This window comes from Homo sapiens, chromosome 13 (assembly GCF_000001405.40).
Source record: "Homo sapiens chromosome 13, GRCh38.p14 Primary Assembly".
In the NCBI taxonomy this organism is placed as follows: Eukaryota; Metazoa; Chordata; class Mammalia; order Primates; family Hominidae; genus Homo; species Homo sapiens.
In genome coordinates, this window is record NC_000013.11 from 67,235,550 (window position 1) to 67,263,533 (window position 27,984).

At 34.8% G+C, this 27,984-nt stretch overlaps 1 long non-coding RNA gene across 1 annotated transcript in view, besides 1 other annotated feature; it reads right to left on the reverse strand.

The window, feature by feature from the left end:
• Window positions 1–21,044: 21,044 nt before the first annotated feature.
• The window catches only part of LOC105370246 (uncharacterized), a 69,539-nt gene continuing 62,599 nt past the window's right edge, over window positions 21,045–27,984 (reverse strand). The window contains exon 3 of the long non-coding RNA XR_002957498.1: window positions 21,045–21,327. This is a non-coding gene — a long non-coding RNA (uncharacterized LOC105370246). The remainder of the gene's footprint in view (window positions 21,328–27,984) is intronic.
• Window positions 22,839–23,603: an enhancer, noted in NCBI's record as "OCT4-NANOG-H3K4me1 hESC enhancer chr13:67832520-67833284 (GRCh37/hg19 assembly coordinates)". NCBI's record gives its function as "activates a minimal SCP1, AML or CMV promoter by ChIP-STARR-seq in primed H9 embryonic stem cells {active_cell/tissue: H9 hESC(primed)}" and the evidence as "EXISTENCE:reporter gene assay evidence [ECO:0000049][PMID:30033119]".

Consider the following 27,984-nt stretch of genomic DNA (forward strand, 5'->3'; position numbering starts at 1 on the left):
GCTTTTTATGAGAATTAAGTTAATATTACTCTGCTTACAAAAATTACATATCTTTGTGTGTTTATACACGTGTTCTTTAGAATAATTTTTTTCTTAAATGAAAATCCTATTCTGTAGTGCCCTGTAATACAAGCCTTTAAATAGTCCTACAATGTACCATGTCTTTTCATTCCCATGCTTATGAATTTACTGTTCTCCAGCCACAGATTGGTAAAACATTCAGAAAGAATTAAGAGAACGTCAAAGAAACTTCTTGGCTGCAGGGAATGGGGTTGGTAAGTAAGCCAGAATGTATCATAAAAAAGATTCATTTTTTTAAAAACAGTATGTCATAAGAAACATTATATGTGGAGCTTATTCGAAACTCTAATTTAAAATATTATCCTTGCAAAAATATCACCTGTAAAATATAAGACAAACAATAAGTACCTGTAATAATAACATTGAAAAGATTATAAATGTTTCCTGATGTCACAAAAAAATTCACATAATGTTTTGATTTTAAAGAACAAATGAGTACCATGTTTTACATCTATGGACTAGTTGCAGATTACTTGTGTAATTTCTATACGTTACAACTATACCAATATAGGTGTCCTTAATGGCTATGCTAACAGAGAGTAATTACATTATTTTTGAATAATATTTGTCCCTCACCAGGGGATGAGGCCAACTTTTCAGTATAACAGATAAGTAGATTCTAAAGACCAGGTGAAACTTCAGGTAAATACCACAATTCGTTGAAAAAGGTAGAAGTGAGAATTACATAAAATAATTGCAAAGCATGTAAGGGAGAAATTCATTGTTAAAAAATATATTAATCAGCTCATTCAAACCTATTTTAAACAACCTACTATATTAAAAAAATAAAAATTAAAGATATGTGCTATATTAAAAAAAATCTTACTACCTTGGAAATATTTTCTACTTTGTGAATACCCATCACAATATCTCTTTTATGTTTTAGATTTTAAATATTTTGCTTGTTACATTAATCTTAATAGTTTGAATGCTCACTAGCAAGTAAGTTCTTGATTACATAAATGTACTACCAATCTAGTTATTTTTAATCTTTATATTGGTTCAGATTGTTTATTGGGTTTATTATTATAAGAATGACATTATGCTAAAGTTGACTTCTTGATTTAAATAACATTCTAGGGTATTTACTGAACCTGATTCCATGTTTCTCAAACTTTAATGTGAGTAAAATAGCCCAGAGATCTTGTTAAATTAAAATGTAAGTTCTGTTATATTAGCTCTTCAATGGGAGCTAAGGTCCTATATTTCTAAAAAGTTCCCAGGGGATACTAATGGTATTGATCTGTGGACCACAGATAAAGTAGCAAGGACCTAAAAGGCATGTTAAATACAAAGTATCATGGCTAAAGGGTGAGAGTGGGAAGCAAAAGCAGAAGGTTAGAGAAAGAATCACCCCTACCATTTTATCATACAAAGGTTAGTTTTGTTACCAAGCATTCTTTTGATGCTAGTACTGCTCAGAGGGTCAAGGAATGTATTTATCATCCGCATATTAATTTAATTTAGGTTGTCTCTTTCTCTCAGAGATTAGACATCTAGAGCTAAATTTTAGTTTTACTTTGAACTAGGAATGACGAAGAGGTCTCTTTGGAGCCTGGTACTCTTCAGAGGAAGGCAAATTACATAGAACAGACCAATAAGCCTTAGGGCACTTGCTGAGCAATGTGGGGTACCAGGTCAGACGGGGTTGGAAAGTGTCAACAGGAGGTAATAGAATACATGGTGGACACATTTGGGTCATCTCCAAAGCTCATGAGAGTTTTTCCTTCTTTGGAATCTATATATATCTATATATATATACACACACACACACACACACACACACACACACCCTATATATATATACACACACCATATATATGTACACTATATATAGATATGCCATATATATATACTACATATATACCATATATAGATATACCATATATATACACAAATATATATATTACTTATTTAAGCAAATTTATATCAAGTCCCTAAATTGCCAAATCAAAAATTAAAATATCCCTGGAGTTTATTTCTACAGACCTAGAGCAATATGTCTGTACAAAATATGTTACAATTTATTTTTCCAATGTCCAACTTAAAAATTGAAGAAATAAATCTCTTTTCCAGCCCTTAGTGACAAATGTTTTATCTTTATGGAAGGCACAGGGAAACTGCAAATCAACAATTTGTCCTGAACTTGATCATTTCTGTCCAGTCTTATTTTCAGAAAAGATAAGATTCATCAATGTGTATATTAGCACTTTTATGTTTTATGATAACATGCAGTATATTCAGTATAAAACTCAAATGTATATTATACCTTTATCATTTCTACAATTTAGTAGTTAAAAATAACTTCACCCACCCACAAATTTTCTGACAAAATATGATTGCTCTATATTCTGTTATACACCTGTGGCTCATTTGGAATATTCATCAGCTGAGAAGATTAAAACTACGATTACTTCAAATAGAAGGTGAAAATCTCGCTTGGTTCTAATAAAGCACCTATAATGTCCTTCAAATCTGTAGTTATAAACAAGCTTGAAAAAAATGTAATTTATGTGGTTAGTTGCTAAGATGTCTTTTATTCTGGTTACCACAGTCTCAGTAACTTACTTTAATTCCTCCAAAGAATACAGAGCACATGTATATTATATTTTAAAGATTTTGGGTAAACTTAATTGCTCCTGAAAACTAGCAAATTAAATTGCAATAACAACCTAAAAATGAGCAAAAACTTGTTGAATTAGGTTAAATATGCATTCAGAGAAAAACAAGAATCCTAAAGAAATATTGAATACAAGAAAAATTAGTTTTTAACTATATAGTATTTAGCTCTATTGAGTGTCATTTTAAGAGTTAGTGCCAAAATAATTCTAAGTATGGTAAACACTGCCATCTAGAGGACTTTTATTGTAATGCAGAGCAAAACAAAAATACCTAAAAGTGGGAAATGTACAGGCCTGTACTGTAGTTTTGTTTTTTTAATAGATTTCTCAAATCTGACAAAATTATATATTTCAAGAAATTAGCTTAACTGCAACAGTAATTCATTAAGGAATTATTTACTATGATTTAGAGTATCAATACTAATACATTGTCAAAAAATTATTTGAAATTTTTTTATTAATCATGATGTTGTTATACTTGTCAGTAATCTAATTTTGATATTATAAACAAACTATCAAATAAGATATATAGTCATATTCTTGTGAGATATAAATAAGAGTCAATAGCTAGAAAAACCAGAAATACAATCATGTTTATATATATATAATAATAAATATTTCTTTCATGAAAGCAACTAAATTACCTGTACTATTCTTATTATTTCTTCCTATCTTTCCTCTTTCAATGTGAATATTTTTCAGTCCTGTTACATTAACTTACATAATGTGCTGATTTCCAAGGTGGTGGCTGGGCCTCTGTGGGGTTACTCAGGACCTACAAAGGTGTTAAAAGAGAGGTACCTTGCTGTGTTTGTTTCCTGTTTAAATAGAAATACTAGCACATATACAGTTTCCATTGTCAAAAATCAGTGAACAGGAAAAAACATATTTTTTTCTATGACAAATTTTCCAGGGACCAGTAGTATCTATTTTTAAGTGAATATTAGACACATTTATAGTAAAAAATTATAAAATGTTGCCTAATCAAATTTATTTTTACATGCTCCCTAAATTTCAGATAACTAGTGGAATTTGTGAAACAGTCTACTTCTTATGAATTGTAACAAATGTTATGTGTATTTGAGTTTTTTTAGATGACTAGGATTTTATTTTAGTTTTAGTATCTTTTTATGGTAGCCCTGCACTTAAAGAGCTAGAGATTACAAATTTAATTCTGTGCTTAGAAAGAAAAAGTATAGTGTAAATTTCAAATCAATTCAAATAAGACGGATATGTAGCATTAAAATGTAATTCTGTCAATTTCCTATAAAGCTGTGGAGATGCCTATTTAAGGGTGAAATCTCTGACAAGTTAAAGTAATTTTTCTTCTCATAATTTGATGTTTTAATTACAATGAATATCCATAAGAATCTGACACAATTTTATTTGATTATAATTTCACATTTATGTAAGAATTACAGAGTTGATGATAGTGATGGAATTTTGACTAGTATAGTCATCATCGTATTGAATCTGGTGTTTCAATTGTACATGATTACTGAGGAGAAAGGAATGAATTAAATCATTATCAATGAACATGCCTATAATAACTTCTGCTTTATTAGAGACATAGTTTTGTATTATTTTTATCATACATATATATAATATACATGTATGATCACTGTGGAAAATATATATGGAAGAAAATAGGATATAAGAGGAGTAGAAAATGTAAAATTTTTAAACATCTCTGAAAACTTCTTAAATTTGATCCTTGCTTGCTTTTTTACTAAGAAAACTTTCATGTGTAGAGAAATAGTAAAATCTTCTCTATAGATTCAACAATTTTAAATATTTTGTCCAATTTCTTTGGTTCCTCTTTCACATATTTGCTCCAACATTTGAAAGTAAAGTATAGGCCAGGCGCCGTGGTTCAGGCCTATAATCCCAGCACTTTGGGAGGCCGAGGCAGGCGGATCACGAGGTCAGGAGATCGAGAGTATCCTGGCTAACACGGTGAAACCCCGTCTCTACTAAAAATACAAAAAAATTGGCGGGCGCGCCTGTAGTCCCAGCTACTCGAGAGGCTGAGGCAGGAGAATGGCATGAACCCGGGAGGCGGAGCTTGCAGTGAGCCGAGATGGCGCCACTGCACTCCACCCTGGGCGACAGAGCGAGACTCCGTCTCAAAAAAAAAAAAAGTAGAGTATGGATCACATTACCACAAAATCATTCAAAATAAATCTCCGAAGAGTAAGGATCATTGCCTACATAACCATGATATTATTAGCACATTTAAGGAAGTAATAATAATTCCATAAACATAATTTTATATCTACAGTATTTTAAATGTTTAGAAATTTATTTCCAAGAAGTTGAGGGATATTTGTGGGTTTTTTTTTCTTCTAAATCCAATCTAGTCTGATCACATTGCCTTTGTTTTTCTCCTTAGTTTCTTAGTTTAAAACAGTTCCCTCCATTTTTCCCCCATGACTTTGAATTTCTGATGAGTTTAGAAAAGTTGTAGGGTAGACTCTTTCACAATCTGGATTTGCTTAATTGCTTCTTCTTAGGATATTAACTTGATTCTCTGTGACCTGTATTTTTGTCAACTAGAAATTAGATCTTAAGCGGTGCTAGCCCATAAAAATATCATTTGTGACTGAGTGCCGTGGCTCACGCCTGTAATCCCAGCCCTTTGGGAGGATGAGGCAGGAGGATCACCTGAGGTCAGGAGTTTGAGCCTGGCCAACGTGGTAAAACCCTGTCTCTACTAAAAATACAAAAATTAGCCGGGCGTGGTGGCTGGGGCCCGTAATCCCAGCTACTCGGGAGACTGAGGCAGGAGAATCGCTGGGAGGCAGGGGTTGCAGTGAGCCGAGATCATCCCATTGCACTCCAGCCTGGGTGACAAGAGCGAAAATGAGTCTCAAAAAAGAAAAAAAACTTATTTGCATCACTTACATAATTTTAAATATTTTAATAGCCACTTTAAAAAAACAAGGTGAAAAACTATTTTAATAATGTATTTAATTCAATCCAATGTATCCAAAATACATCATTTAATATTATGTAACTAATATAAAATACCTTCTTTTCTAAACGTCATATCATGAACAGTGAAACAATCTGGCATTATGAGTCCCCTAGTGTAATTGAATATGAAGAATACAACCTCACCTATGAATTATTATCACCCAGAATATTCAGTTGTAATCTAATTAAGACCTAGTCTTGTGATAGGCAACATGGTAGTCATATGATTTGTGACTAGTCCAAATTACAATGTACTATGAGGGTAAAATACTCATCACATTTTGTCTGTATATATGCTTCGTTTTTTGATCCTCTAAATTAATTGAAGCTTCAGATCTACTTATTGACTTTTGTACTCTTCATTCTTGTGACTTTTGCTTTACTGTAATTGTAAGAGGGTTTTTTTTGAAAGAGTTAAAACAAACATGAAATCATTCTTCTACCTGAGAAAATAAGTTTTATATGTGCACAGAAACATGCACATCCACATATATAATCTGAATAAATATATCCCAGAAATGGGCCAGGTGTGGTGGCTCACAACTGTAATCCCAGTACTTTGCGGGGCTGAGGCGGGTAGATCACCTGCAGTCAGGAGTTCGAGACCAGCCTGGCCAACATGGTGAAACTCTGTCTCAACTAAAAATACAAAAAAATTAGCCAGGCGTGGTGGTGTGTGCCTGTAATCTCAGCTACTTGGGAGGCTGAGGCAGGAGAATAGCTTGAACCTGGGAGTTGGAGGTTGCAGTGAGCCAAGACTGCCCCATTGCACTCCAGCCTGGGCAACAAGACTGAAACTCAGTTTCAAAAAAAAAAATAAATAAAATAAATAAAATAAATAAATTCCAGAAATGAGTTCCTTCAATTACATTAAAATGAATACAGTATCACCTGTGCTGGTTGCCCTTGGAACAGCCTCCAGTCATCTGATTATTTCTCCCTTAAGATGATAAATTCAGCATACAATTTTCTTTGTTGTTTTTGCATGTAGAATGCATGGACCAGAGAAAACACTTTAAAATCTCACTTCTCATTGCTCTGTCATAGCTCCTTGTTCTCTCCCCGGAGCTGTTGTGCATCCCATTTCCCTTGGATGAAAAGTAATATTCAGCCTGTTGTTTGGCAGGAAAAGTACTCCTCAGTCATAGTATAGGAGATTAGAGACTTTTTTCCTTGCTTTGCTGTTCTGCAGAAATTAATTCTTAAAAGAAAGACCACCACCTTGTAATTGAGCTAGTGAATTCACTTCAAGGTAAGTTTCTATGTTTGCAAAGCCATTTAAGGAAGAGCCTCAAGAAAAGGAATCTCTGTGGCTCCATTTCAGTTGCTAGGGCTTTTACTTTGTGCTGAAAAGCCTATAATCATTGCTCATATACGCAAAGACAAACTTGAAGAAAAGAGAGCAACGGAAACAAATTAAACAAACAGATGCTCCCCACCCCAGGGTCAGAAGTGTCAGGGAGGGTGTTAGGTTTCCCCTGAAGGGATGGTGTTCCTTCTAAGTTCAGCCCTGCCATGTTAGAGGCAGCTCACCCAGTCCTAAATCAATATTTCCTTTAGTAAATTGGGAGTACAGCCCACTGGGAGATGAGCCTGTAACCAATCTGAGAGTCATCTTCAATGACAGGGTGAGGTCTCAGCATGAACTCTCATGGAGCCCCAGCCTCCTTTGATGTTTCTGCCTCTGCTTACCTAGTCCAATGTGTGTGCTGGTTTTTCTTTCAGTCCCCTACTTGTTCTGAAGCCTGTGAGGAATTCCAGCCAGCTTGGCAGACACCCTGAACCACCTTCTCCTGATGTTAGGGTCTCTTCTTGTTCCTACCCCACCATTTTGGAGTCAGTCTTAATACATACAGAAACAGAGAAGTCAAATACTGTCACTGGCCTGATTTTGAGAAACATTGCCATCCAGGAAATAAACAGTTATTTTACTTGACTGATCACGTTTCCTGTATATTTTGATTTGGACTTGAATTCATCAATTTGCCTTGGATATTAACATGTGTACTGCTTACCCTCTTCATACCCATTTATACTTCTGTACTTCCTGGGAAATTATTTCTCCTTTTTTTTTTTTTTGAGATAGTGTCTCACTCTGTGACCCACGCTGGAGTGCGGTGGCACTATCTCGGCTCACCACAACCTCTGCCTCCTGGGTTCAAGCGATTCTTCTGCCTCAACTTCCCCAGTAGCTGGGACTACAGGCACGCGCCACCTCACCTGGCTACTTTTTGTATTTTCAGTAGAGACAGAGTTTTGCCATGTTGGCCAGGCTGGTCTCGAACTCCTGACCTCAGGTGATCCACCCACCTTGGCCTCCCAAGGTGCTGGGATTACAGGCATGAGCTACCATGCCCGGCCAGAATCATTACTACAACCAGACTGAACTTCAGATATGTGTGCTGTCTGCTGTCCGAGATGCCTGCCAGACATACCTTCAACTTCCTTCCATCTTTTTCCTTCTTTTCTCTTTCCTCTCTTCTTCATGAATATTAAAAAAAAAAAATTGATTGGGGTTTCCAATGCACTGTATGTCTATGCACCCCACTGCTCCAAATTCATATAATAAAATCCTAACCGCAAGATGGTGGTGTTAGGAGGTAGGGCTTTGGAGAGGTGATTGGATCATGAGGGCAGTGCCTTCGTGAATGGAATTACTTATTATAAAAGAGACACCAGAGAGCTCCCTTGTCTTTTCTGCCATGTGATGTTACAGCAAAAAGACTGCCACCCATGGAGAAACAGGCCCCCCGATCCATCAGATCTGCCAGTGCCTTGATTTTGGACTTCTCAGCCCGCAAAACTGTGAGAAGTAAGTGGCCGTTGTTGATTAGCCACTCAACCTGTGGGAGTTTGTTATAGCAGCCCAAACGAACTAAGACAGAGTTGTCGTGGTTTTCCAGTTCATTTAAGGGCATTATCATTTTTATCAAATTTACTGCACAGATATTTCTCAGATTCCTTGCCTTTTAGTTCAAGGGGTTCTTTCCCTTTAATTTTATCACTTAAGAAAGATAAATTTTTGTACTTTAAACAAACAAGCAAAGCTAAAAGTCCATAGTGCATTGTAGACAAGCTTACTTGCAATTTGAAGAGTTGTCACCAGCCTGCTCTGATGCCTAGTGCTGATGTTTTTCTTAGGTTTCAGGATTGGGTCCCAATTCAGGACACATGTGACATCATTGCCATACAGTAGCCAGCAGGTGTATAAGCCACACTCTTGCAACACAAAATTAGAAACTTAATACAACTCTGTTGGGTAAAATAGTAAAATAAATGCATACATTGATCAGGTTTCTAGCATTCTATTAACCTTTTATGAGATCTAAATCACCCAGCATAAACATGGTTTATTTTTCTCTAAAAGTCCTTTTAAAGTTATGGAAAAAGAACCCAGGAAATCACGTATACTTGAAAAAAAAAGTAATTTAAAATATGCTTATTACTAAGACTTTGTAGTTTAAGACATGTACAGAGGAATTGCCAAGTATCAATTCATCCTTAAAAATATTCACATTCGATAATTACATTGATTTTTCTGTTTTCCAGTTTTCACCGATTTTGTTTTTAAGGTATGTTTATTTTTTGTATTGTAAAATGTCAGTATGAGTTATATTTGCTGTTTGCAACTCTAATAATTTGTATGACTCCAACAAATTCATTTGCCACTTTGTTTTTAATTTATATTATATGCCTGTTTAAATTCAAACCCCTAATAACTTGCTTTCAATGGCTGAAAATTAGTGAATATTTTCTCCAAATAAGCAAGTGTGTTGTGAACATTTTAATAAATCCAGGTTACTAACATGATTACTCAATTTAGCATGATATGAAAAGAATTGTTGCCTTTTCACGTTAGTGATTAAATCTCACTTTTAATTTAATCTTGTTTTTAATATTCTTTTTCTCCTCCAAAATGAGGTATTCATATATGAAAATGGTTTTCACAGTTGAAATATCTTCTTAAATTATAAAAGCTATATGAACTCCTTAGGGAAAAAGAAAATCTTAACAGTATAATGCAGAGAGTGGAGTGACTCCTCTCACGCTCTCTTTTCTATATAATCCACCTCACCTGCCAGCATATTGGTGTATAATAACGCTGGACTCTCCTAGGCTCTCCCCTTCTCCACCCCACACTTGAACACACATAAATGTGCATATAGATATTCATAGGTATTTTAAATGGACAACTTTGTATGGAAATGCTTAGAATCCAACTTTACAAATATTGGTGGGGGCATTGTATAAAATTTTATTTGTAAATTGTATCTCAGTAATGTTGGAAAAATTTTTTAGAAGAAATTCATTCTCATGTACTTTAATTTTTTCTAAAAATCCATGTTGTGTTGACCATCATCATGCATACATCTTTGTTCACTTTGTCTCTTAGGGGATAAACATCTAGCACAGAAATTGTTAGGCCAAAGGGAATGCATATGATATATTGATAAACTTCCAAATTGCCTTCCAGATAGATACCAATTTAGAGATGTACTAATAGTGTACACTCAAATCTTTTCTAACATTGAGTATGATCAACCTTTCTTAATTTTTATGTCTGATGGGCAAATTTTTTTTAACTTTTTGTTTATTTGATCGTTAGAGATTTATAAATGATGCATATTATTATTTGTATTTCTTTTGATAGTTGCCATTTTTCTATATGTTTATATATGTTTAACTGAAATGTAGAAAATAACTCATTTTAAATAGTAATACTGTCTGATAATGCAACTATTTTTGTCTCTTATTTCCTTTTCATCTTTGATATATCTTTGTAATAGCTTAAATTGATATGACCAAATCAAAATTGTGTTTTCTTCTAATCCTGAGTTTCAGCTCATAGCTACAAGAGCCTTATGCATCCCAAGATCATTTTTGTTTTAATTTACTAGTTAAACAGGTTACAGGCTTTTAAACATATTTGTATTCATTTTCTTTCATCTTTATTGAACACGGCAATAATAAAATCCAAATTTTAAACTTGTATGTCCTAGTAAGGAATGTTCTTCATACATTTTTACCAGAAATAGACTTTCCAAATTATCAGAGATTTTGAAAAAAGCTGATATTGCATCCAAGTCAAATTTATATAACATGCCAGATATTGAGAATCCAGAACAAATAACGTAATGTTTCCATCCTCTGAAGGATAAAGGTAGATAATGGGAGAGAGAAGAAAAGCCTTCTGTAAAATGGTAATTTCTATGTCTTCTAGTAGTATTTTCCATAAAGTATTCTTCAGCACTCATCAGAGGATAAACATCAAGAGAAATGGGTTCTATTGTCAAATACATTTGGAATTTTATATATATATATATATGAGTTTTATAATTGAGTTTTATATAATATATGAGCTTTATGTAATATTTCATATGGTAATATGTTTTATTAAGTACCAAAACCACAAAAAACAAAGTATGTTTCCCAAATTTATTTATTGATGGAGCATTTTTACAAAGAGGTGGCTATAAAAATAGTGTTTCAAAAAATAATACCTATATTATATTTATAATATATAATTAACATATTCCATGTATGTGTATATATGCATGCATATGTGTACATTATATATGTGTGTTTGTATGTTCATGTATGTCTTTATATTAAACTGATTATCCTGTAATCTGGGAAATCATTACTTTCTACACTACTAGGCTCCAGTAATGGAAAAGTTCAACACATGCTTTAATATTCATCTCAAAGGCATTAATTTGAGAGAAACAAAAAATGAGTTCCAAAAGCTTGGATTTCAGAGCTAAGCTATAGAAGTCTGCAGGGTCTTCTGTGTGAGAACAAGCGGAATCATCACTCAAAAGTCTATGCCAAGCCAGGCACAGTGGCTCACACCTGTAATCTAGACACTTTGGAGGCTGAGTGGGGTGGATCACTTGAGTCCAGGAGTTTGAGGCCAGCCGGAACAACGTAGTGAGACCTCACCTCTACAAAAAATGAAAAATTAATTAGCTGAGCATGGTGGTGTGGACCTGTAGTTCCAGCTACTCAGGAAGCTGAGGCAGGAAGATCATTTGAACCCAGGAGGTTGAGGTTGCTGTAAGCTATGATTGCACCAAACTCTATGTTAAAAAAAAAAAAAAAGTCTACACCAGCTTCAAGTGATTAATCACCCCTTCTCCCCAGCACCAGGCAACTGGGTGGAAGCTGAGCAGGTAATCAGTCTTTCACTATGTGAGTGAATACCACGTGTGATCCCACAGCCAAGGAACTACTTTATCTGCTCCTTTGTCAAGAAATATAACTTGTCTTTTATAGTAGCCTATCTTCCCCTAAAAGTTCAGTGGGTTTGATGACCTTTGAGTCTGAATCTTTGCTCAGCCTATCTGAACTACCCCACCTGACCAGCCTTCTCTATTCAACTATGCAGAGCACTCATAAACCGCTCTGTGGACCTAGAGGGACAGAAGTGCTGGGAAAGGCACAGGAGCCCAGCACTTGCACTGTATATGCGTATTTCTGTGCCCATGAAATGGCGGTCCAGATTACTCAGTACTTTCAGTTGAGCAAGAATTATGGATTCTTCCTTTCCATGTCTGATCCAAAGTTAGTCTTCTAATCCCCACTGTATTGTATCACATTGTGATATATGGTGATAAGATTAGAAGGCAGATAGGGATAAAATTTGTCAATTAAAAGTACCTCAGTCTTTTACTATTTAAGAATGGACATTTTACCATTTACTTAATCACTTCAAACTTCAACTCTGTAGTAGCTGTTTCTCTCCCACCCTAAGCTTGCATTTTTTTCCTGCAATGCTAGTTTCCCTTTCCTCATTTCTTTAACTTTTCCATGGCAAGGAACCCTCAACTAAGGCATCCCTTCATCCAGAAAGCCTTCAATCTTCCCCAAGAACCATTCTCTTTTTCCCCACCAGTTTCTTTGGTCACACATATCCTCTCATCATTCTGTCTTCTTCTATCTCACTGAATGGCCTCTATACATATTTATCAATATGTACTCTCTCTATGCATTTTCTTTGACCCAGTAAAAGAAGTTCTCAATGATATGGAGAGGGTCCTGTGTTTTCTTCTTTTCTTTTTGGATTCTCTGTGGTTCCCATCATAGTCCTGGTTACCTAACAAGCACTAAGTAATTATGTGGTGGACAAATGATTTTGTGAATAATGTAAACACTCCGAAATATTCGCACAGCAAACTTGAAGACTTACATAGAAAATGGAACCAATGATTAGGACCTGCTCAGTCATTCATATTACTTTTCTGATTTCAGACTTTCTTAACAGTTTCACCTACTTCTAGCCGCAACTCAAAAACCACAATGATAACCACTGTCCTTATTCCGATTGTTTCTTCCCATGCCTGTGAAGAAAAGGGTAAAGTAACGAGGTCTCAGAATGACATGAAAGCTTGAAGGTCTGTAATTCTTCAAAGTGGCAGGGCCACCATCACTTAGTTTCCCTATTTTTAACCTAGAAATTGGCTTCATTTTCCTATTTTCACCCTGAGTAACTCTTTCTCACTGGAAATATTAAGGGACACTTTCAGGAAAGCTGTTAAGCCATAGGTGAAATTGTCCTGATTCCTAGCAAAATTTATCAAGTCAGTAATTGTTAATTTAATGTAATGTGTGATGCAAAGGTGCTAGGACTTAGATATGTTGAATGTAGTTAATACAATGTCATACTTTGTATTTTGAAAAAGCTGCTCTTGGTCATCGTATTTCAATCTCCAATTAGGTTTTAAAATAAACCTAATTGTAGGTTTTTATTTTCTTTTTGCTGTACCCTTTTTAAAAATATAAAGGCTCATAAGGTCAGGGACTCACACAAGTTAAGAACAAATTGTTGGGCACATATAAAAGTGATTCTTAGCCAGCCTCAGTGGCTCATACCTGCTATTTGGGAGGCTGGTACAGGAAGATCACTTGAGGCTAGGTGTTCAGGTTCAGCCTGGGAATCATTACAAGATCCTGTCTCTAAAACAAAAACAAAACCATACACACATACAAACAAAAATAAGACAAGCCTGCGGTCAAGTTCCAACAGTATCTTCTCAAAGAAACCTTTCTTTACATGCCTTCTCACTCTCTCCACCCTTGGGAAAAACAATTCACCATTGAACACAATAGGGACCACTTAACTGAATGCCTGGTACATGCTAGGCACTCTACTAAATACTTTACAAATGTCATCTCTCAGGTAATCCTCTTCCCAGCTCTAGGAACTTACATCTTCATTTTGCAGATGAGCAATCATATTTAGAGAGGTTAAATGATATGACAGATTCATACAGCTTGTTTGTGACAGAGCAAGAATTTAAAATAATGTTCTCTTCAAAGCTCAGTCTATTTCTCTAAAACAGACTGCCTTGCCAATCTGTAGCAATCAACTCAATATATTATACTTAGTTTACTTGTTAAATGCTAAGTTTTTAGTTTTAATTTTTTAGTGTAATTATTCCATTTAGAAAATGTTTAAAACTATGTGGACTGTGCTTAAGATATATATATTTATTACTTTATAAGACTTGTCAACAGCTGTATAAACCAAAATACTACGTAAAAAGAACTTCACAGTTCTGAATACTTATAGCTAAATAGTTTTTTGTTTCCTAGTTTTAATTTTTACATGTACTTTAATGACTTCTTTGTTCTTTCTCTCTATATATTCATTGTCTCTTATTCAAACATGGTATCCTGTGATGATATAGCATTAGTAGATTAAAAATGTGTTGAAGTCTTTACTATAGTTTGTTTAATGAAATAATTCATCAAATATTTAATCTTTGGATAGTGATATTCTTGCCTCACTTCTGTGGCTCTCATTCCTATAAATTATTTTAATTTCATGGGTATTATCTTTTGTGCTGGTCAACTTAATTTTATGAGTCCTTTTTTAACTTTAAATGTAAATGTAATATTCCTAGAAGTTGAGAAAAAACCTCTGTGTAAGAATCTTTTACAAACATTTACATTCTTAACTAAACATATATATCAGTTGATAATATAAGTTAGGATATTTAACTTGGCAATTTCAAATATCTAAGCTTTCTTGCCTTTAGGCTTACTTCAGGTGTAAGACATTGCAACTCAAAAGTATGTATTTTTGGAAACGACTCATCATCATCCCAGAAAAAACTGCGGAGACTTTGTATATTTAAAGGAGAAAATTCTAAACTATTTTTGCCTTGAATATTCTTTGTAGAAAAATGATTTTTAGTGCCTTTGGCAAATTGTCACAGGCAAACAACCCTACTTCTCAACTTAAAAAAAAAATTTGAAATTTACCAAACTTAAAAGCCTTTTTCTAGGACTGCGTCCATCACTGTAATGGGGCAACACATCAACACATGTACCTGTTCTAGAAGACTACAAAAGCACAAATCACATCCACTTTCCATTATAGAGCTTTATCTCTAATTTCTAGAAAGGATGGTGAATTTCAGGATCATTATGAAACGACAATATTAGAAGAAGGCGAAGAACCACTACAAATTACATTTGCAATAGGTATTAACTGCTCCTGGACACTACTTCCTTTTTACAAAGCAAATCAAATCTAGTTCTGGAACCTCAAGTTCTAACTCAATGAGAAGCTCAAAGACATACATGCATGGATGCACATTGGATTAACCCCAACTGGGACTACTGTGTTCTATGAAAAGTGGAGAAAAGTGTGCAGGTTGGAAAAATGCCTCTGGGTCATCATCCATTGTGGTGGATATTTTTTCAGTCAATGTAAAATATATATCTCTTTGATAACTGTGATATAAAAAAATCTGAAAAGACAGTATTTTAAGGTAACATTAGAGATTACTAAATAGGCAGTTACCAAGAATTTGGAGAAAACATGCAAGGATAAAATTATTAAAATATAATACCATACAATTAACAAATAATTCCTTGAAGAATACTAATTAAACTTATCCTGAGAGGAGCAAATGAGTTAAATCTCATTTGCATACAGATTTCTGTTTGTTAGGATGCAATAAAAGGTAGGATTAGGGGACATTTATCGAACTGTATATATTATGGAAAAGAAAGCAAAACTTTTGTAAGTGGAAATCACTTTGGTTAATTATTAGAATTTTGGTTTGGTTGTTGTTCATTTACTCTTTTTTTGGAACAGGGATACAGTTAGACTTACAGCATTGCAATATCTTTGAAAAAAACAGTGTTGAAAAACCAAAGGATTATGGGAAATAAGGAAACAATTGGTTATGAATACAAAATTAAACTAAAGTCAATGAACACAGATGAGAATTAAATAGATGGATTGAAAGCTGTGAACAAAAGAGTTTCTAAAAATTGCTTATGAGACCATTATCATTTACTTAATAATAAGATTATTATTTCTTATCTTATTATTAGAAATAATAAGATTTCTAAAGTGATTAGTAAGCCTGCTCAATTTTTAGGTGTCATTAAATCTTCAGAAGAATGAAATGACAGAATGAGTAGCAAAATCTAAAGATTATCATGAGAGATTATATGGAGGGAAGAGACGTGTATGAACTTCACAGTAGATAACATAAATACCTGTACTAGATATAAGAAAATGACTTCAGTTTTAATTTGATTCTTTATAAGTCACTATTATTCCAGGATAAAAGTGTCATTATGTGCTTTGTTTTAAATATATCACAATAAAATAACACAATATGCTGGCATATTTGAGAATCCTAGATGGAGAGACTTGAACGCAAAACTACAATATTATTCTACACTTGTATAAAATACCCTCAGACTTGAGATATGCATTTCTGGAAACTGCACTTCAGGCAAAAAATTACTACATTGAGAAAATCCATAACAATGCAATAAAATTATTAAAGCAGCAGCCCCCAACTGGTCAATAGATGATGCTCTAAGCATCTCTAAATCACTCCCCACAAGGCCATAACTTCTGGACTTTGATTATGGAGCAAACTTCCCTGTGGCCCTTTTTGAAAATTCAGATAGTATCCCCCACTAGAAACCTAATGTATTAGAGTATCCTGCAGTGTGGACTTAGCTTAGATGTCTGTATTTTATAAAGTCCCCCACAGAAGATAATCACAGGATATAAATGACTAATCTATTGCTTACTAGTAGTTCTTGTTAAAGTTTGAACAAATGGAGTGATAACATCATAATCAGCACCTTAGTCCTGCTCTCCCTTCTCTTCATAAGCGTATGAAAATTACTAGAGCAGTGAGGACCAGGGCCCTGCCTAGCATGTGTGTGTGTGTGTGTGTGTGTGTGTGTGCATGAGCGTTTGTGCGTGTGTTTTCAACTCCTAAATAGTTAGCATTACCACAAACCAGCTTTCAAAATGTATTTCTTAAATGAATAAATAGATTACTAAATACTTCTATGAGCTAAACACTATATTAGGCCCTTGTGCATTATACTTTGCACTTTTTAAAGCAATTCTAAAAAGCATGTGATGTAATTCCTAGGTTAGGGTAAAGATGATCAGAATCCACCTTTCAGTTGTGTGAAGTCACACAGCTCGTCAGTGTGTGCCCCGCCAGCATCAGATCACTGATTGTCCCTCCACACAAGGGATCCCAAGGCTTCAAAAAAGCAAAGAGTCCTCTCATCGCAAAAGCTTGAAGTCTCATGAATTATGGAGGTGAAAGCATTTCTATATAAGTAATGATTTTAAAAAATAAATTAGGATTCTTCAACCTGGAGAAATAAAAATGAAGAAGAAATGTTATAAAATCCATAAACTCAAAAATATTATGAGAGGACGGACATGAAAATTTTCAGTAATCCAAGAATGTTTGAAGAGGCTGTCCCCAGAAACTCACAAAAGATACTTTTTAGAACTAATAAAAGATACTTCTACTTTATAGAGTTAGTTGTAAAACTTTGGGACTTAAAACCCTGAAAATGCTTCGTTTTGAAGATCTAAATGAATCTGAAGAGGATAGAGAAAATTCCATAGGTGGAAAACCCCTAACAAATTGAAGGGAAGCTAGGACTTGAAGGCAGGTGTGGGTCTAAAATATAATTTGTATTAATGAAGTATCTCAATATTTTAAGTAGAGTCCAATTTCTTTGAAGTTCCAGAACTCCCAATTCTCTGCCTCCTATCCACTTAAAAAAAAACAAAACTGAAGTTTATCACAGTTGCTCTTCAAGTAGAAAAGCTAAACCAATGCTGTAGTTCCATGTGAGTAAAAATGTATATTATACTAATGTTGGAATGAATGCTTAATGATCAGCTCAAGTTATTAATACAATTATATTAATAAATTAATGCAGTCTACATCTTACTGAACTTTTTAAAAGACAAGGTTATGAATATATATATTTTTGTAATGAGTTTTATGATAATAGGATAGGATTTTAACCAAATAATTACCCTTAACCTGGAGAAATTTTTGCCTCAAGGGACATTTGATGCGTTCCAAAGACATTTTTGATTGTGACAACTTATCTAGTGGGTAGAGGGCAAGAGACGCTGCTAAATATCCTACAATGCATGAAATGGCACCTATGGCGAAGAATTATCTGGTTCCATAGTAGGCAGGATTCTAAGGTGCCTCTGAAGATTTACATCCCCCTCCCAGAGTTCATAGGCTGCATAATCCCTGAACTGTGAATATAATGAGATTTCATGCCTATGATTGTTGTGGCACAGTTGAGTTTAAGGTAGGGAGATAAACAGGTATGAGCCCTTTAAAAGAGGATAGTTTTCTCCTGATTGTCACCAAAGTGGAAATGAGAGAGAATCAGAGCATGGGAGGGATTCAACACAAGGAAGGTTGTTGTAGAGATTTAAGGAGCCATTGATCAGGGATCTGAGAGGAGCCTCTAGGAGCCAAGAGAAGTCATTGGCTGACATCCAGCAAGGAAACAGAGACTTCAATTTCACAACAACAAAAAACTGAATTCTGCCCATAACAGGAATAGGCTCAGAGAGCACCTTGAACCACTAGAGGAGAATGCAGTCCAAGCCAGAGCAAAGATCCTGGCCACACCATCTTGAGCTATGAGCTAAGAAACAGGTGTTGTTTAAAGTCACAAAATTTGATTCGTTATGCTGCAGTATAAAACACACACAGGCCCAATGTGTCCATAGTGCCAAGTCTGAGAAACACTAGCTAAAGCATTCTGGTCTAGCACTTCTCAAATTACTATTAAAGGGATGTTACTAGGTAGTTTTCAAAGAAACAATGAAGAAAATCTTCCCCTGAGGATAAACATTTATTTAACTCAGATCAAGTTAAAGATGTTTTGTTACTGTGGGACATTTTAGAAACTTTAATATCCTGGTTATGTTATGAAGCTACAGGAGAGGAGTTGATTATAAAGCAATTCCAAAGCGCATTTGAATAAAGATCTGCTATTCTGGGAAAATGGATTAATGTATTTTGATTCCAAAATCAATTAATATCTTTTGATTTGATTAGGATCAAATTTAGTCAAATGTACAAATGAAACAAACAAACAAAAAAAGAAATCAATTTCATGGCTCATCTTCCTAATTTCAAACTAAATCAGATGTACCAAAAAAATATGGATACCCTTTGTAATTTAGACTATTACAACAATAACAACAATGTTTTTGTTTGTTTGTTCGTTTGTTTGTTGAGACAGGGTCTCTCTCTGTCACCCAGGCTGGAGTAAAATGGTGCAATCATAGCTTACTGTGACCTTGAACTCCTGAGCTCAAGTGATCCTCCTGCCTTAGCTTCCCAAGTAGCTGAGATGACAGGTGTGCACCACAAAGCCCATCTAATATATTATATATATTTTGTAGAGATGAGGTCTCGCTGTGTTGCCCAGGCTGGTCTTGAACTTCTGGACTCAAGTGATCCACCTTAGCCTCCCAAACTATCAGGATTATAGTTGTGAATCACCACGCCTGGCAACAATAATGCTTCTTGATCATGTATTATTACAGAGGTCTTCAAATAGTGTACAGCATATCGGGAAGTTCAAATCTGCAAAGATACAGTATGTATATTTCAATTATTTGTGCAGGAGAGATGCTAGGGCTGAGGGAAATGCATGTTAGACATTACATCGCATTCTACTTTCACTAGCTCTGCTACTGTCTTCTTTCCACGGTCGTCTTCTGGTCACTTTTAAAGCATCTCCATAGACCTGGAAGAAACTTTATTTTCTCTTTTTCTTGCAACACCCACAGATTATCATTCTGTTAATAATGCTAGCACATGGAGACGGGGAGGGGAGGTGTGGTAAAGGGATCTTCTACCTTTCTTCAGACTTCCTGAGTGCGCACTATCATTCTGTGAGTTTCAAAATGCCCTCATCCATATTTTCTACTGTGGTTTGGACACTCGCTTTGGCTGCACTGATATTTGTGATTGCTACAAACTACTGGACACCATTTCTGTCTGTTTTTACTTCCAGGCTCCACATTGCTTGCAGTAGTATCAGTTTCTCCCAGCCCAGTATCCACCCCTATATGTGGCTCTACGTTCAGCGATAGCCAACCTTTAATATATATTACACTACAGATAGTAACCAGTCACTGCTGATGAGATTCAAACTATGAGAAGGCATTTTTTGAACAATGACAATAACCCTAGCGATACTTTAAGGGAAAACAATTAAATCTCCACCAAAAAAAGGTTTCAAGTATCTGTTAGTTAAATAGCTGCTATGTCTGACTTAGTAGAAAAATTATATTAACAATGTCAATGCCCTCTATTGGTTTTCCACTAAATATAGCTAACATATTTAACTGTTATTATTCCAAAATGCTTGTTTTTAGCTTATCTCAAAACCATTTTAGAGAAGGATTGTTTATATCTATTTTATACAGAGAACAACTTTAACATGTAGTATAATCGATTCTTTAGATTAGAAATCATTTTTATTCTATGCTTTACTCGCTGGGGATTAATCTTCATGTGATCAGAATGAGCCTGCTATTTAAATACTGAATTACACCTACTAAATTGAGAATAATTGCTTTCTACCTGGCATTAAAGGACTTCCGTAACAGTCCCAACCAGCCCTTTACAATCTAATCTCCCATTACCACCCTACACAGGTGGTATACTCTAGCGAAAATAAATTTGTCACCATTTTACATTCTTGTTATACTCACTAAAACATTTACGTTTATTGCTCTTTTACTCAGAAAGACTTTGATTGAGGATATCCTAGCTTGTGTTACAGCAACAGATAGCTCCAAAATTGAAGTGACGTAACCCACCAAGTGTCTATTTCTTGCAAATACTTTACGATTAATGCAGGTCATGGAGGGGTAGAGGGGTTGTGGGATTACTGTGATTCACAAGATCTCTGAGACAGGCTGACAGAGACTGCAAATTTAATTTCTTCACATTTATTTAGCAATAAAATGGAAAAAAGAATGTCTACTTTTGCAAGTCTGTCATGAAGATTAAATATGGAAAACACTGTTTGGATATCCCAAAGATAACATTCCTTCTCTCTTTTCCACTGAGCACCTGTAAGAAACAAATTTCACCTCCCATTTGGACTATAGTTATGTTTTTGCCTGCTAAATGTTAAGTGCTTGAGGACAAAGCATATGTCTTTTTTATTCTTGTATCTGCTTAATTGTCCAGATGTTGCCAGTAGACTTTTGGTAATACTTGTCGAATGTAGAGAACTCATAATTCTCCAATACTGGAATGGCTTTCTAAGTGTTCTCTGCAATCCTTGCTCTGTATTTAATCTGAATAGAAATAGAAATAAAAATAAAATATTGAGTGTTTTAGTTTTAAAGAGTCATATAAGATAAATGCATAACTAATTTTAGCTTTAAGTTTTTCCTCCTACAAACCTTTATGAAAGTTTATAAACTGAGAAACTTTTTTCCAAGAAGTATGGATCCCAGCATATAGTAGTTGCTTAATGCATATTTATGAATGAAGTCTGATGCACTTGCAGAGAAACTATACAAGTCTAGAGATATTAATTATACATCTATAAAATATAAATTAATACAGGCTTTTGTCAAGAGATTTTTCTCTGAGTATCCTAAAAGAAATATTTCATAATCTTGAAGTCAACATTCTTAAGCCACATATGTTTTGAAGTAATTTAGTAATGTTAGGATTTTTATTCTTTTTCTTGATATTTAATAGGCACTTTTATAAGGGGGAGAAGAATTGTTAGAAAGTCATACTTCTACAAACGTTATTTTCAGTCTTTGCATGACTTATTGAGGTGTCTGGCTTATGGAATGCATTTGGGCTCCATTCCTTACTCCATCAATGACTGCATAATTGAAAAATAAAAATATGAAAATGCTCACTTGTTCTGATACAGGGTCTCTTTTGTAACATGTAAGAAAAAATTTGTATAAAATATGTAAGTTCTCTGAAATGCAAAGTACAAGCTGTTATTGCTATGCTATTATTTTTACAAATTAGTTTCCTTCATCAATAGTCATGTATAGAACTGGATTAATACTAGTAGACACACTCTTAAATAGAAGGAATATATTATCAATAAGGTTATTTCATCTAAAAACACAATGAAAGATTCTCAACTATGTGGGAATTTACACACATACTATTATTCAAGTGTGTTGGGAGAAAAATCTTACTCTACTAAATACATTCAGGAACATTTTAGGATGAGATACATGTTTTGAGAATACATTCATATCTGAAATATGCATTTTTCTTATAAATTCCTTTCTTCTTGATATTCTAGGTGTCAACCAATTTTTCACTGGATTTTCAACCCATAAAAAGAAGCTGTAAATTTCAGAAAAACGAGAGTGTAATTTCAAGACAAATACATCACAAAAGTATGAATAAGAAAGAAATGTGTTGTTTCAGCTAGGCAGGTATTCCTGTTAATTTATGGAGCCGTTTGTCCTGCTTGTAAAATTCCATTTTTTATGGAATAGAGAATTATTGCTGCTGTAAGATGTAACAAAATGGCTAAATGCCTGAGGGAAATACAATAAGGACATTTGGGTTAGGAATATAATAATATTCAAAATATTTCACTGGGAAGTTAGAAAAAGTTATCCCAGTTTTCTTTTAATAAATTGAAGCAGAATGCTAATTTAAAGCTAAATAAATATAACAATCTGAATGCTGCCATGCACACCAATATAATTTATTTAAAAGATTTGCCAAATGTATATAACAATGATTAAAACCATTAATGTATGTATGTATGTATGTAACAATAATTAAAACCATTAATGAAATTCCATGATTTTTTTTTGTCTTGAATATTATATCCATTTGTCTAATTTGGACTAAATATTAAATATTCCAGTCATTTTAGCTTGCTACATAAAATTAAACAAATAGAGATGGGAATGTCGAGGAAAGAAGATATATACTGTACAGTGCTGGCTGTCCCTAACTACTCATTCTGCCTTTCATTTTTACTAACTGAAACCCAGTTCTGTGTGGTTTAGTGTTGTTCCCAGCTAACCACTTGATTTCCCCAGCTGCTGCCCATCTAGGTGTGGCCTAATGACACATTTCTGGCCAATAAGATGTAAGTAGAACAATGTTGGGCAAGGCACCCAGGAGAGCTGTGTATTCTTGGATTAAAAGAGACAGATTTAGCTGCCATTCCCTTTACTTCCCCTTTCCACTTTTATCTTGTGGAATGTCTTTGTGATGCATAGGAGTGCAGATGCCATGTTGCAATTGAGGATAAAAGTCACATTTCAAAGATTGCAGGCCCCATAGGTAGATGGTGCCTGAAGCATCAAAGACATCTTAAGGCCACTGCCATAGTACTGGGTTTCTTATTATATGGCGAAAATAAATCACTTTTGCAATCTTGTTGTATTTTTTCCCCTTCTACAAGTGTTGAACACAAGAAAAAAAGAAAGGGAAGAGGAAGAGGAGAGATGACAGTAAATCTATGTTGTTTAGAAAGATGAAATGGGAGATTTTAAAGTAGGCAAATAATTATAAATCCTATCTTCAGTCTCCAAAAATGACTTCAAGAGTTCTAGTTATAACATAATCACTTTCTGGAGTCTAGGTGTTACCAGGAAGGGGTCTCGATCCAGGCCACAAGAGAGCGTTCTTGGATCTCGTGCAAGAAAGGATTCAGGGTGAGTCCACAGAGGAAAGGGAAAGCAAGTTTATTAGGAAAGTAAAGGAATAGAAGAATGGCTACTCCATAGACAGAGCAGCCCCAAGGGCCGCTGGTTGCCCATTACTATGTTGTTGTTGTTGTTTTCTTAATATGCTAAACAGGGGGTGGATTATTCATGCCCTCCCCCCCACCTTTTTAGGGCATACAGGGTAACTTCCTGACATTGCCATGACATTAGTAACCTGTCATGGTGCTGGTGGGAGTGTAGCAGTGAGGACGACCAGAGGTCACTCTCGTTGCCCTCTTGGTTTTGGTGGGATTTGTCTGGCTTCTTTACTGCAAACTGTTTTATCAACAAGCTCTTTATGAACTGTATTTTGTGCTGACCTCCTATCTCATCCTTTGACTTAGAATACCTTAACCATGTAGGAATCCAACCCAGTAGGTTTCAGGCTCATTTTACCCAGCTCCTATTCGAGATGCAGTTGCTCTGCCGTAACTGCCTCTGACATAGGCAGGAAGTAAAACAAGAGAAAAAGTGAAAAGGGCATGTGAAATTGAGTCAGCCCTCTGTTAAGAAGTCCTCTCAGAATCCTAAACCACCAATGTGGATTTGGACAAAACAGTCCCATGTCTACCACTGTCTGTAGGGAGATTGAAGAATATGTTTCCTTACCTAGGTACATTGCTTTTGCTTTATCATTGTAATATTAATCTTATAAAATGAGATGGGTATCTTTTTTTTCTTACTAGTATTCTCTGGAAAATTTGGGGGCCACTTCTTACTTTCATTCATGTAGCTGTTTTTCAGTATGTATTTCACAGTTTCAGACTATGATGTAAGGTTTACTAGCGTCAAACTGCAAACTCAAGTTAGGGCTGGATCAGCGATCCTGAATTCTTGAACAGAAAGTTGGCCTGTTTTTGTCGAAGAGTCCTGGCCAAGACAGATTCATGTATGTTCTCTCCCTCTCTCAGTTGAGCTTTCTTAGTTTACGCTTTCACTGAGCGTGAAGCTCTTTCAGTTTCCCAGTCATTTTAGGTAATTCTTTTTGGGGTAGTCTTAATTATAAGTCTCCATCTTAACTTCTCTCCATTCATGTCTTTTAGAAACACCAGACTTTGGCTACTCTGATGTCTTTAAAACATGTCTATAAATTCTCTGATGTTCCTCCTCGGTAGCAGATTCATGAGCAAAACAAATGTTGTGTTAAGTCCCTGAGTTGTAGTATAGTTTGTTTTGCAGCTATGGTAACAGGAATACTTAGGGAGATTGCCACTACCTTGTCTCTATGATTCCTCATCCTAACTTTCTGTTTCTTCATTTGTGAAGAAGGAAGACTTTTGTTTTCACAGGAGCATTTTTTTTTTTTTCTTGAGACAGAGTCTCGCTCTGTCACCCAGGCTAGAGTGCAATAGTGCGATCTTGGCTCACTGCAACCTCCGCCTCTCTGGTTCAAGCAATTCTCCTGCCTCAGCTTCCTGAGTAGCTGGGATTACAGGCACCCACCACCATGCCCGGCTAATTTTTGTATTTTTAGTAGAGACAGGGTTTTGCCATGTTGGCCAGGCTGGTCTCAAACTCCTGACCTCAGGTGATCTGCCAGCCTTGGTCTCCCAAAATGCAGGGATTACAGGGGTGAGCTACCATGCCTGGCCCACAGGAGCATTTTTGTTGAAAAATAAAAACAATTTAAGGAATAATATGTAATCTTAAAATTTTATTTCAAAAAATATCTTATTTAAAAGCTTGAAAATCGACAGCATGATAAGGAGCAATGCAAGCTATCGGGGTCTAGTGTGTGTGTTTTGTGTTCAGGATATAAATTTTCAGCTACTGATAGTATTTCAATAATGATTATAGTCATTTCAGTTTCTCTTTAACTTTCTCAGTTTTGTTAAGCAGTATTCAAGAAATTGCTCACTTGTCTAAGATTTTGATTTATTGATATGTTTTATGACCTTCATATATTTCATACATTTAATTTTTATGTATAATCACATCTCCCTTTAATTATGTCTTTTGTGTTTTTCTTGATTAATACTCAGTGATATTTCTGTTTTATTCTACTTTATAAATAGACTTTTGGAATTTTGTTCTTCTCTATTAAAACTTTCAAAAAATTATCTTTCTTACATCTTCTCTCTACAACTTCAAAAACTTTACTCTGACATTTATATTCCTTTCAAAGTTCTAGAAGATTTTCATCTTTTTATCCCCATTGAAAAAAATCAAATATTTTAAACTGTTCTCTCTATAACAGGCATTGTATTTAATAAATGATGTTATAGAAGAATAGACAGTTGTGATAAATTAGGAAAATGAATTCTTTTTTTTTCTTTTAGAAGTTTAAGATGTACTCTTAAGAGTGAGATGCTGAAATAGAGTGGCAGTAGAGGTCATTCAATGGAGAAAAATTTTAAAAATGGGAGATTGATGGATATCTAAATAGACATGCATATTTTCAGTCTAATGGCAGGAGTTGGGATAACAATGAAGGAGACTTTAGTTCAATTGAACTCCTGAATGAATAGGAGCAAATGACCCATCAAGATATATTAATGATAAAGAAGAGGAAGAGAGTATACATTTAAGAAAAGGAGAGTGTTTTATATGAGGGAGAAAAAAATGATCAAGCTTTGAAAAACATGGTTAGAAGAATGGGTCATGGCTCTGCCTCCAGACTTCATGGACAATAATGTGAGGTGAGAGAAGGACCAGTGTCCAATCATGGAGAGAAATACAAGTTTCAGTCTGTGGAAACAAATAGAAGTTTCTACAAATAGACTATAAATACAGTGAACTTTTTTGGAAATGCAACGAAGTTGGATTGTACAATATGGTAGAAGGAATAGAAAGCTATGTATTAATAAAGTCATGAAAGCAATGGGTAAGTAGAATATGCTATCTTCAGGAACTGTGGCTATGAGAGATATAGATGGAATCAGCCTATGGATATTAAATGCCACACCAGAAGGCTGAATGAAATCAGTGGAATGTCTGTGGCTGTGACTGAGGGGGTAGCTTGAATTGGCATGTGGCATTACCTCAGTAGAAGCTGTATAGTCTAAGTGGAAGAATGACGAGTGGCTTATTCTTCTTCTTGTATTCAGGGCTCACCAGAGTGTTGTTGCTTCTACTGCTGCTTAAGCCTAGCCTTGCTGAGTCCTATCTACTGTTGAGACAAAGTCTCAGTGGTGCTACAAAGGTACAGTGCTCCTGAGTGTTCTGTTTCCACTGAAGAGTATAAAGGTAGTATCTGCCAAGTGGGACTTTACGTTCATGAATGTTTCCTCAAGACAGAGTAAAAGTTATATTAAATTGTCAGATTAAAATAGAGAGGTCCAGAATGAATTAGTAGCAAGTAATTTAATCTGATAATCTCAGAATGAGAGTATTTTAAGTCATCAGGAAGTAAGATCGCATTAGTCTTACGTTGTGTTGGTTGACATTCTTTCTCTTTGCTTTGGAAGGCAGGGATGAGGCCTTTTTAACCTCCTTCTTTTTCTCTCCCCATTTCTTTGCTCCCTCCCCACTCTGGCTAGGGCAGTGGAATAGTAGCAGTCTAATGTGATGTATCAGACAAGAACACCTTCTTGCCTGGTGATACTTATAGCTTGGTATTCTCTTCAGCAGGCTTCGTGGCTATTACACTGTACTTTTTCAACATTAATATTCCCATTCTATTGCTTAAATTACCCACTAAGAATGATATCAAAGTTATTTCCAGTACATTTTCATTTAAGGATAATGATCATTAATGACTACAAAGCTGAGATTTCCTCAGCTCAGAAAGCCTGAATATAGCTAAAGAAGATGAGCAGGGCTGGATATTAGTGATAAATATAGAAGATTAACTTCTTATTGGGGTAGAAAAAGATATTTAGATTGCTAAGTTGTAATGAAAATTAAAACCTATAGTTCCTAAATAGTTCTAAGCCAGCCGTTACTTATAAACAGACTATTCCTATATCACTTATACAAAATCTTTATTAGTCTTGCCTCTAATTGCAATTTACATGTTGGAAACAGCCCTAAATTTCCTGACATATTCATATCAGTGTCTTCTTTTACATCTCACATACAGTGGTCCCTACATGATGATTAGCATATCCTCTCTAATTCTGTAAGAATTACAAAGTATATCATAATTTCATTTTGGTCACTCCACTTTAAATTGTTTATTCTTGGTCTAAAAAAATCCTATGTTTAGTATAATTGTTCTGCATATTTCCCTATACCATTTCTGTTAAATTAGAAAACTTCCTTCATTTCTCATTTCAACTTTTATTATGTTGGTCATCCTTA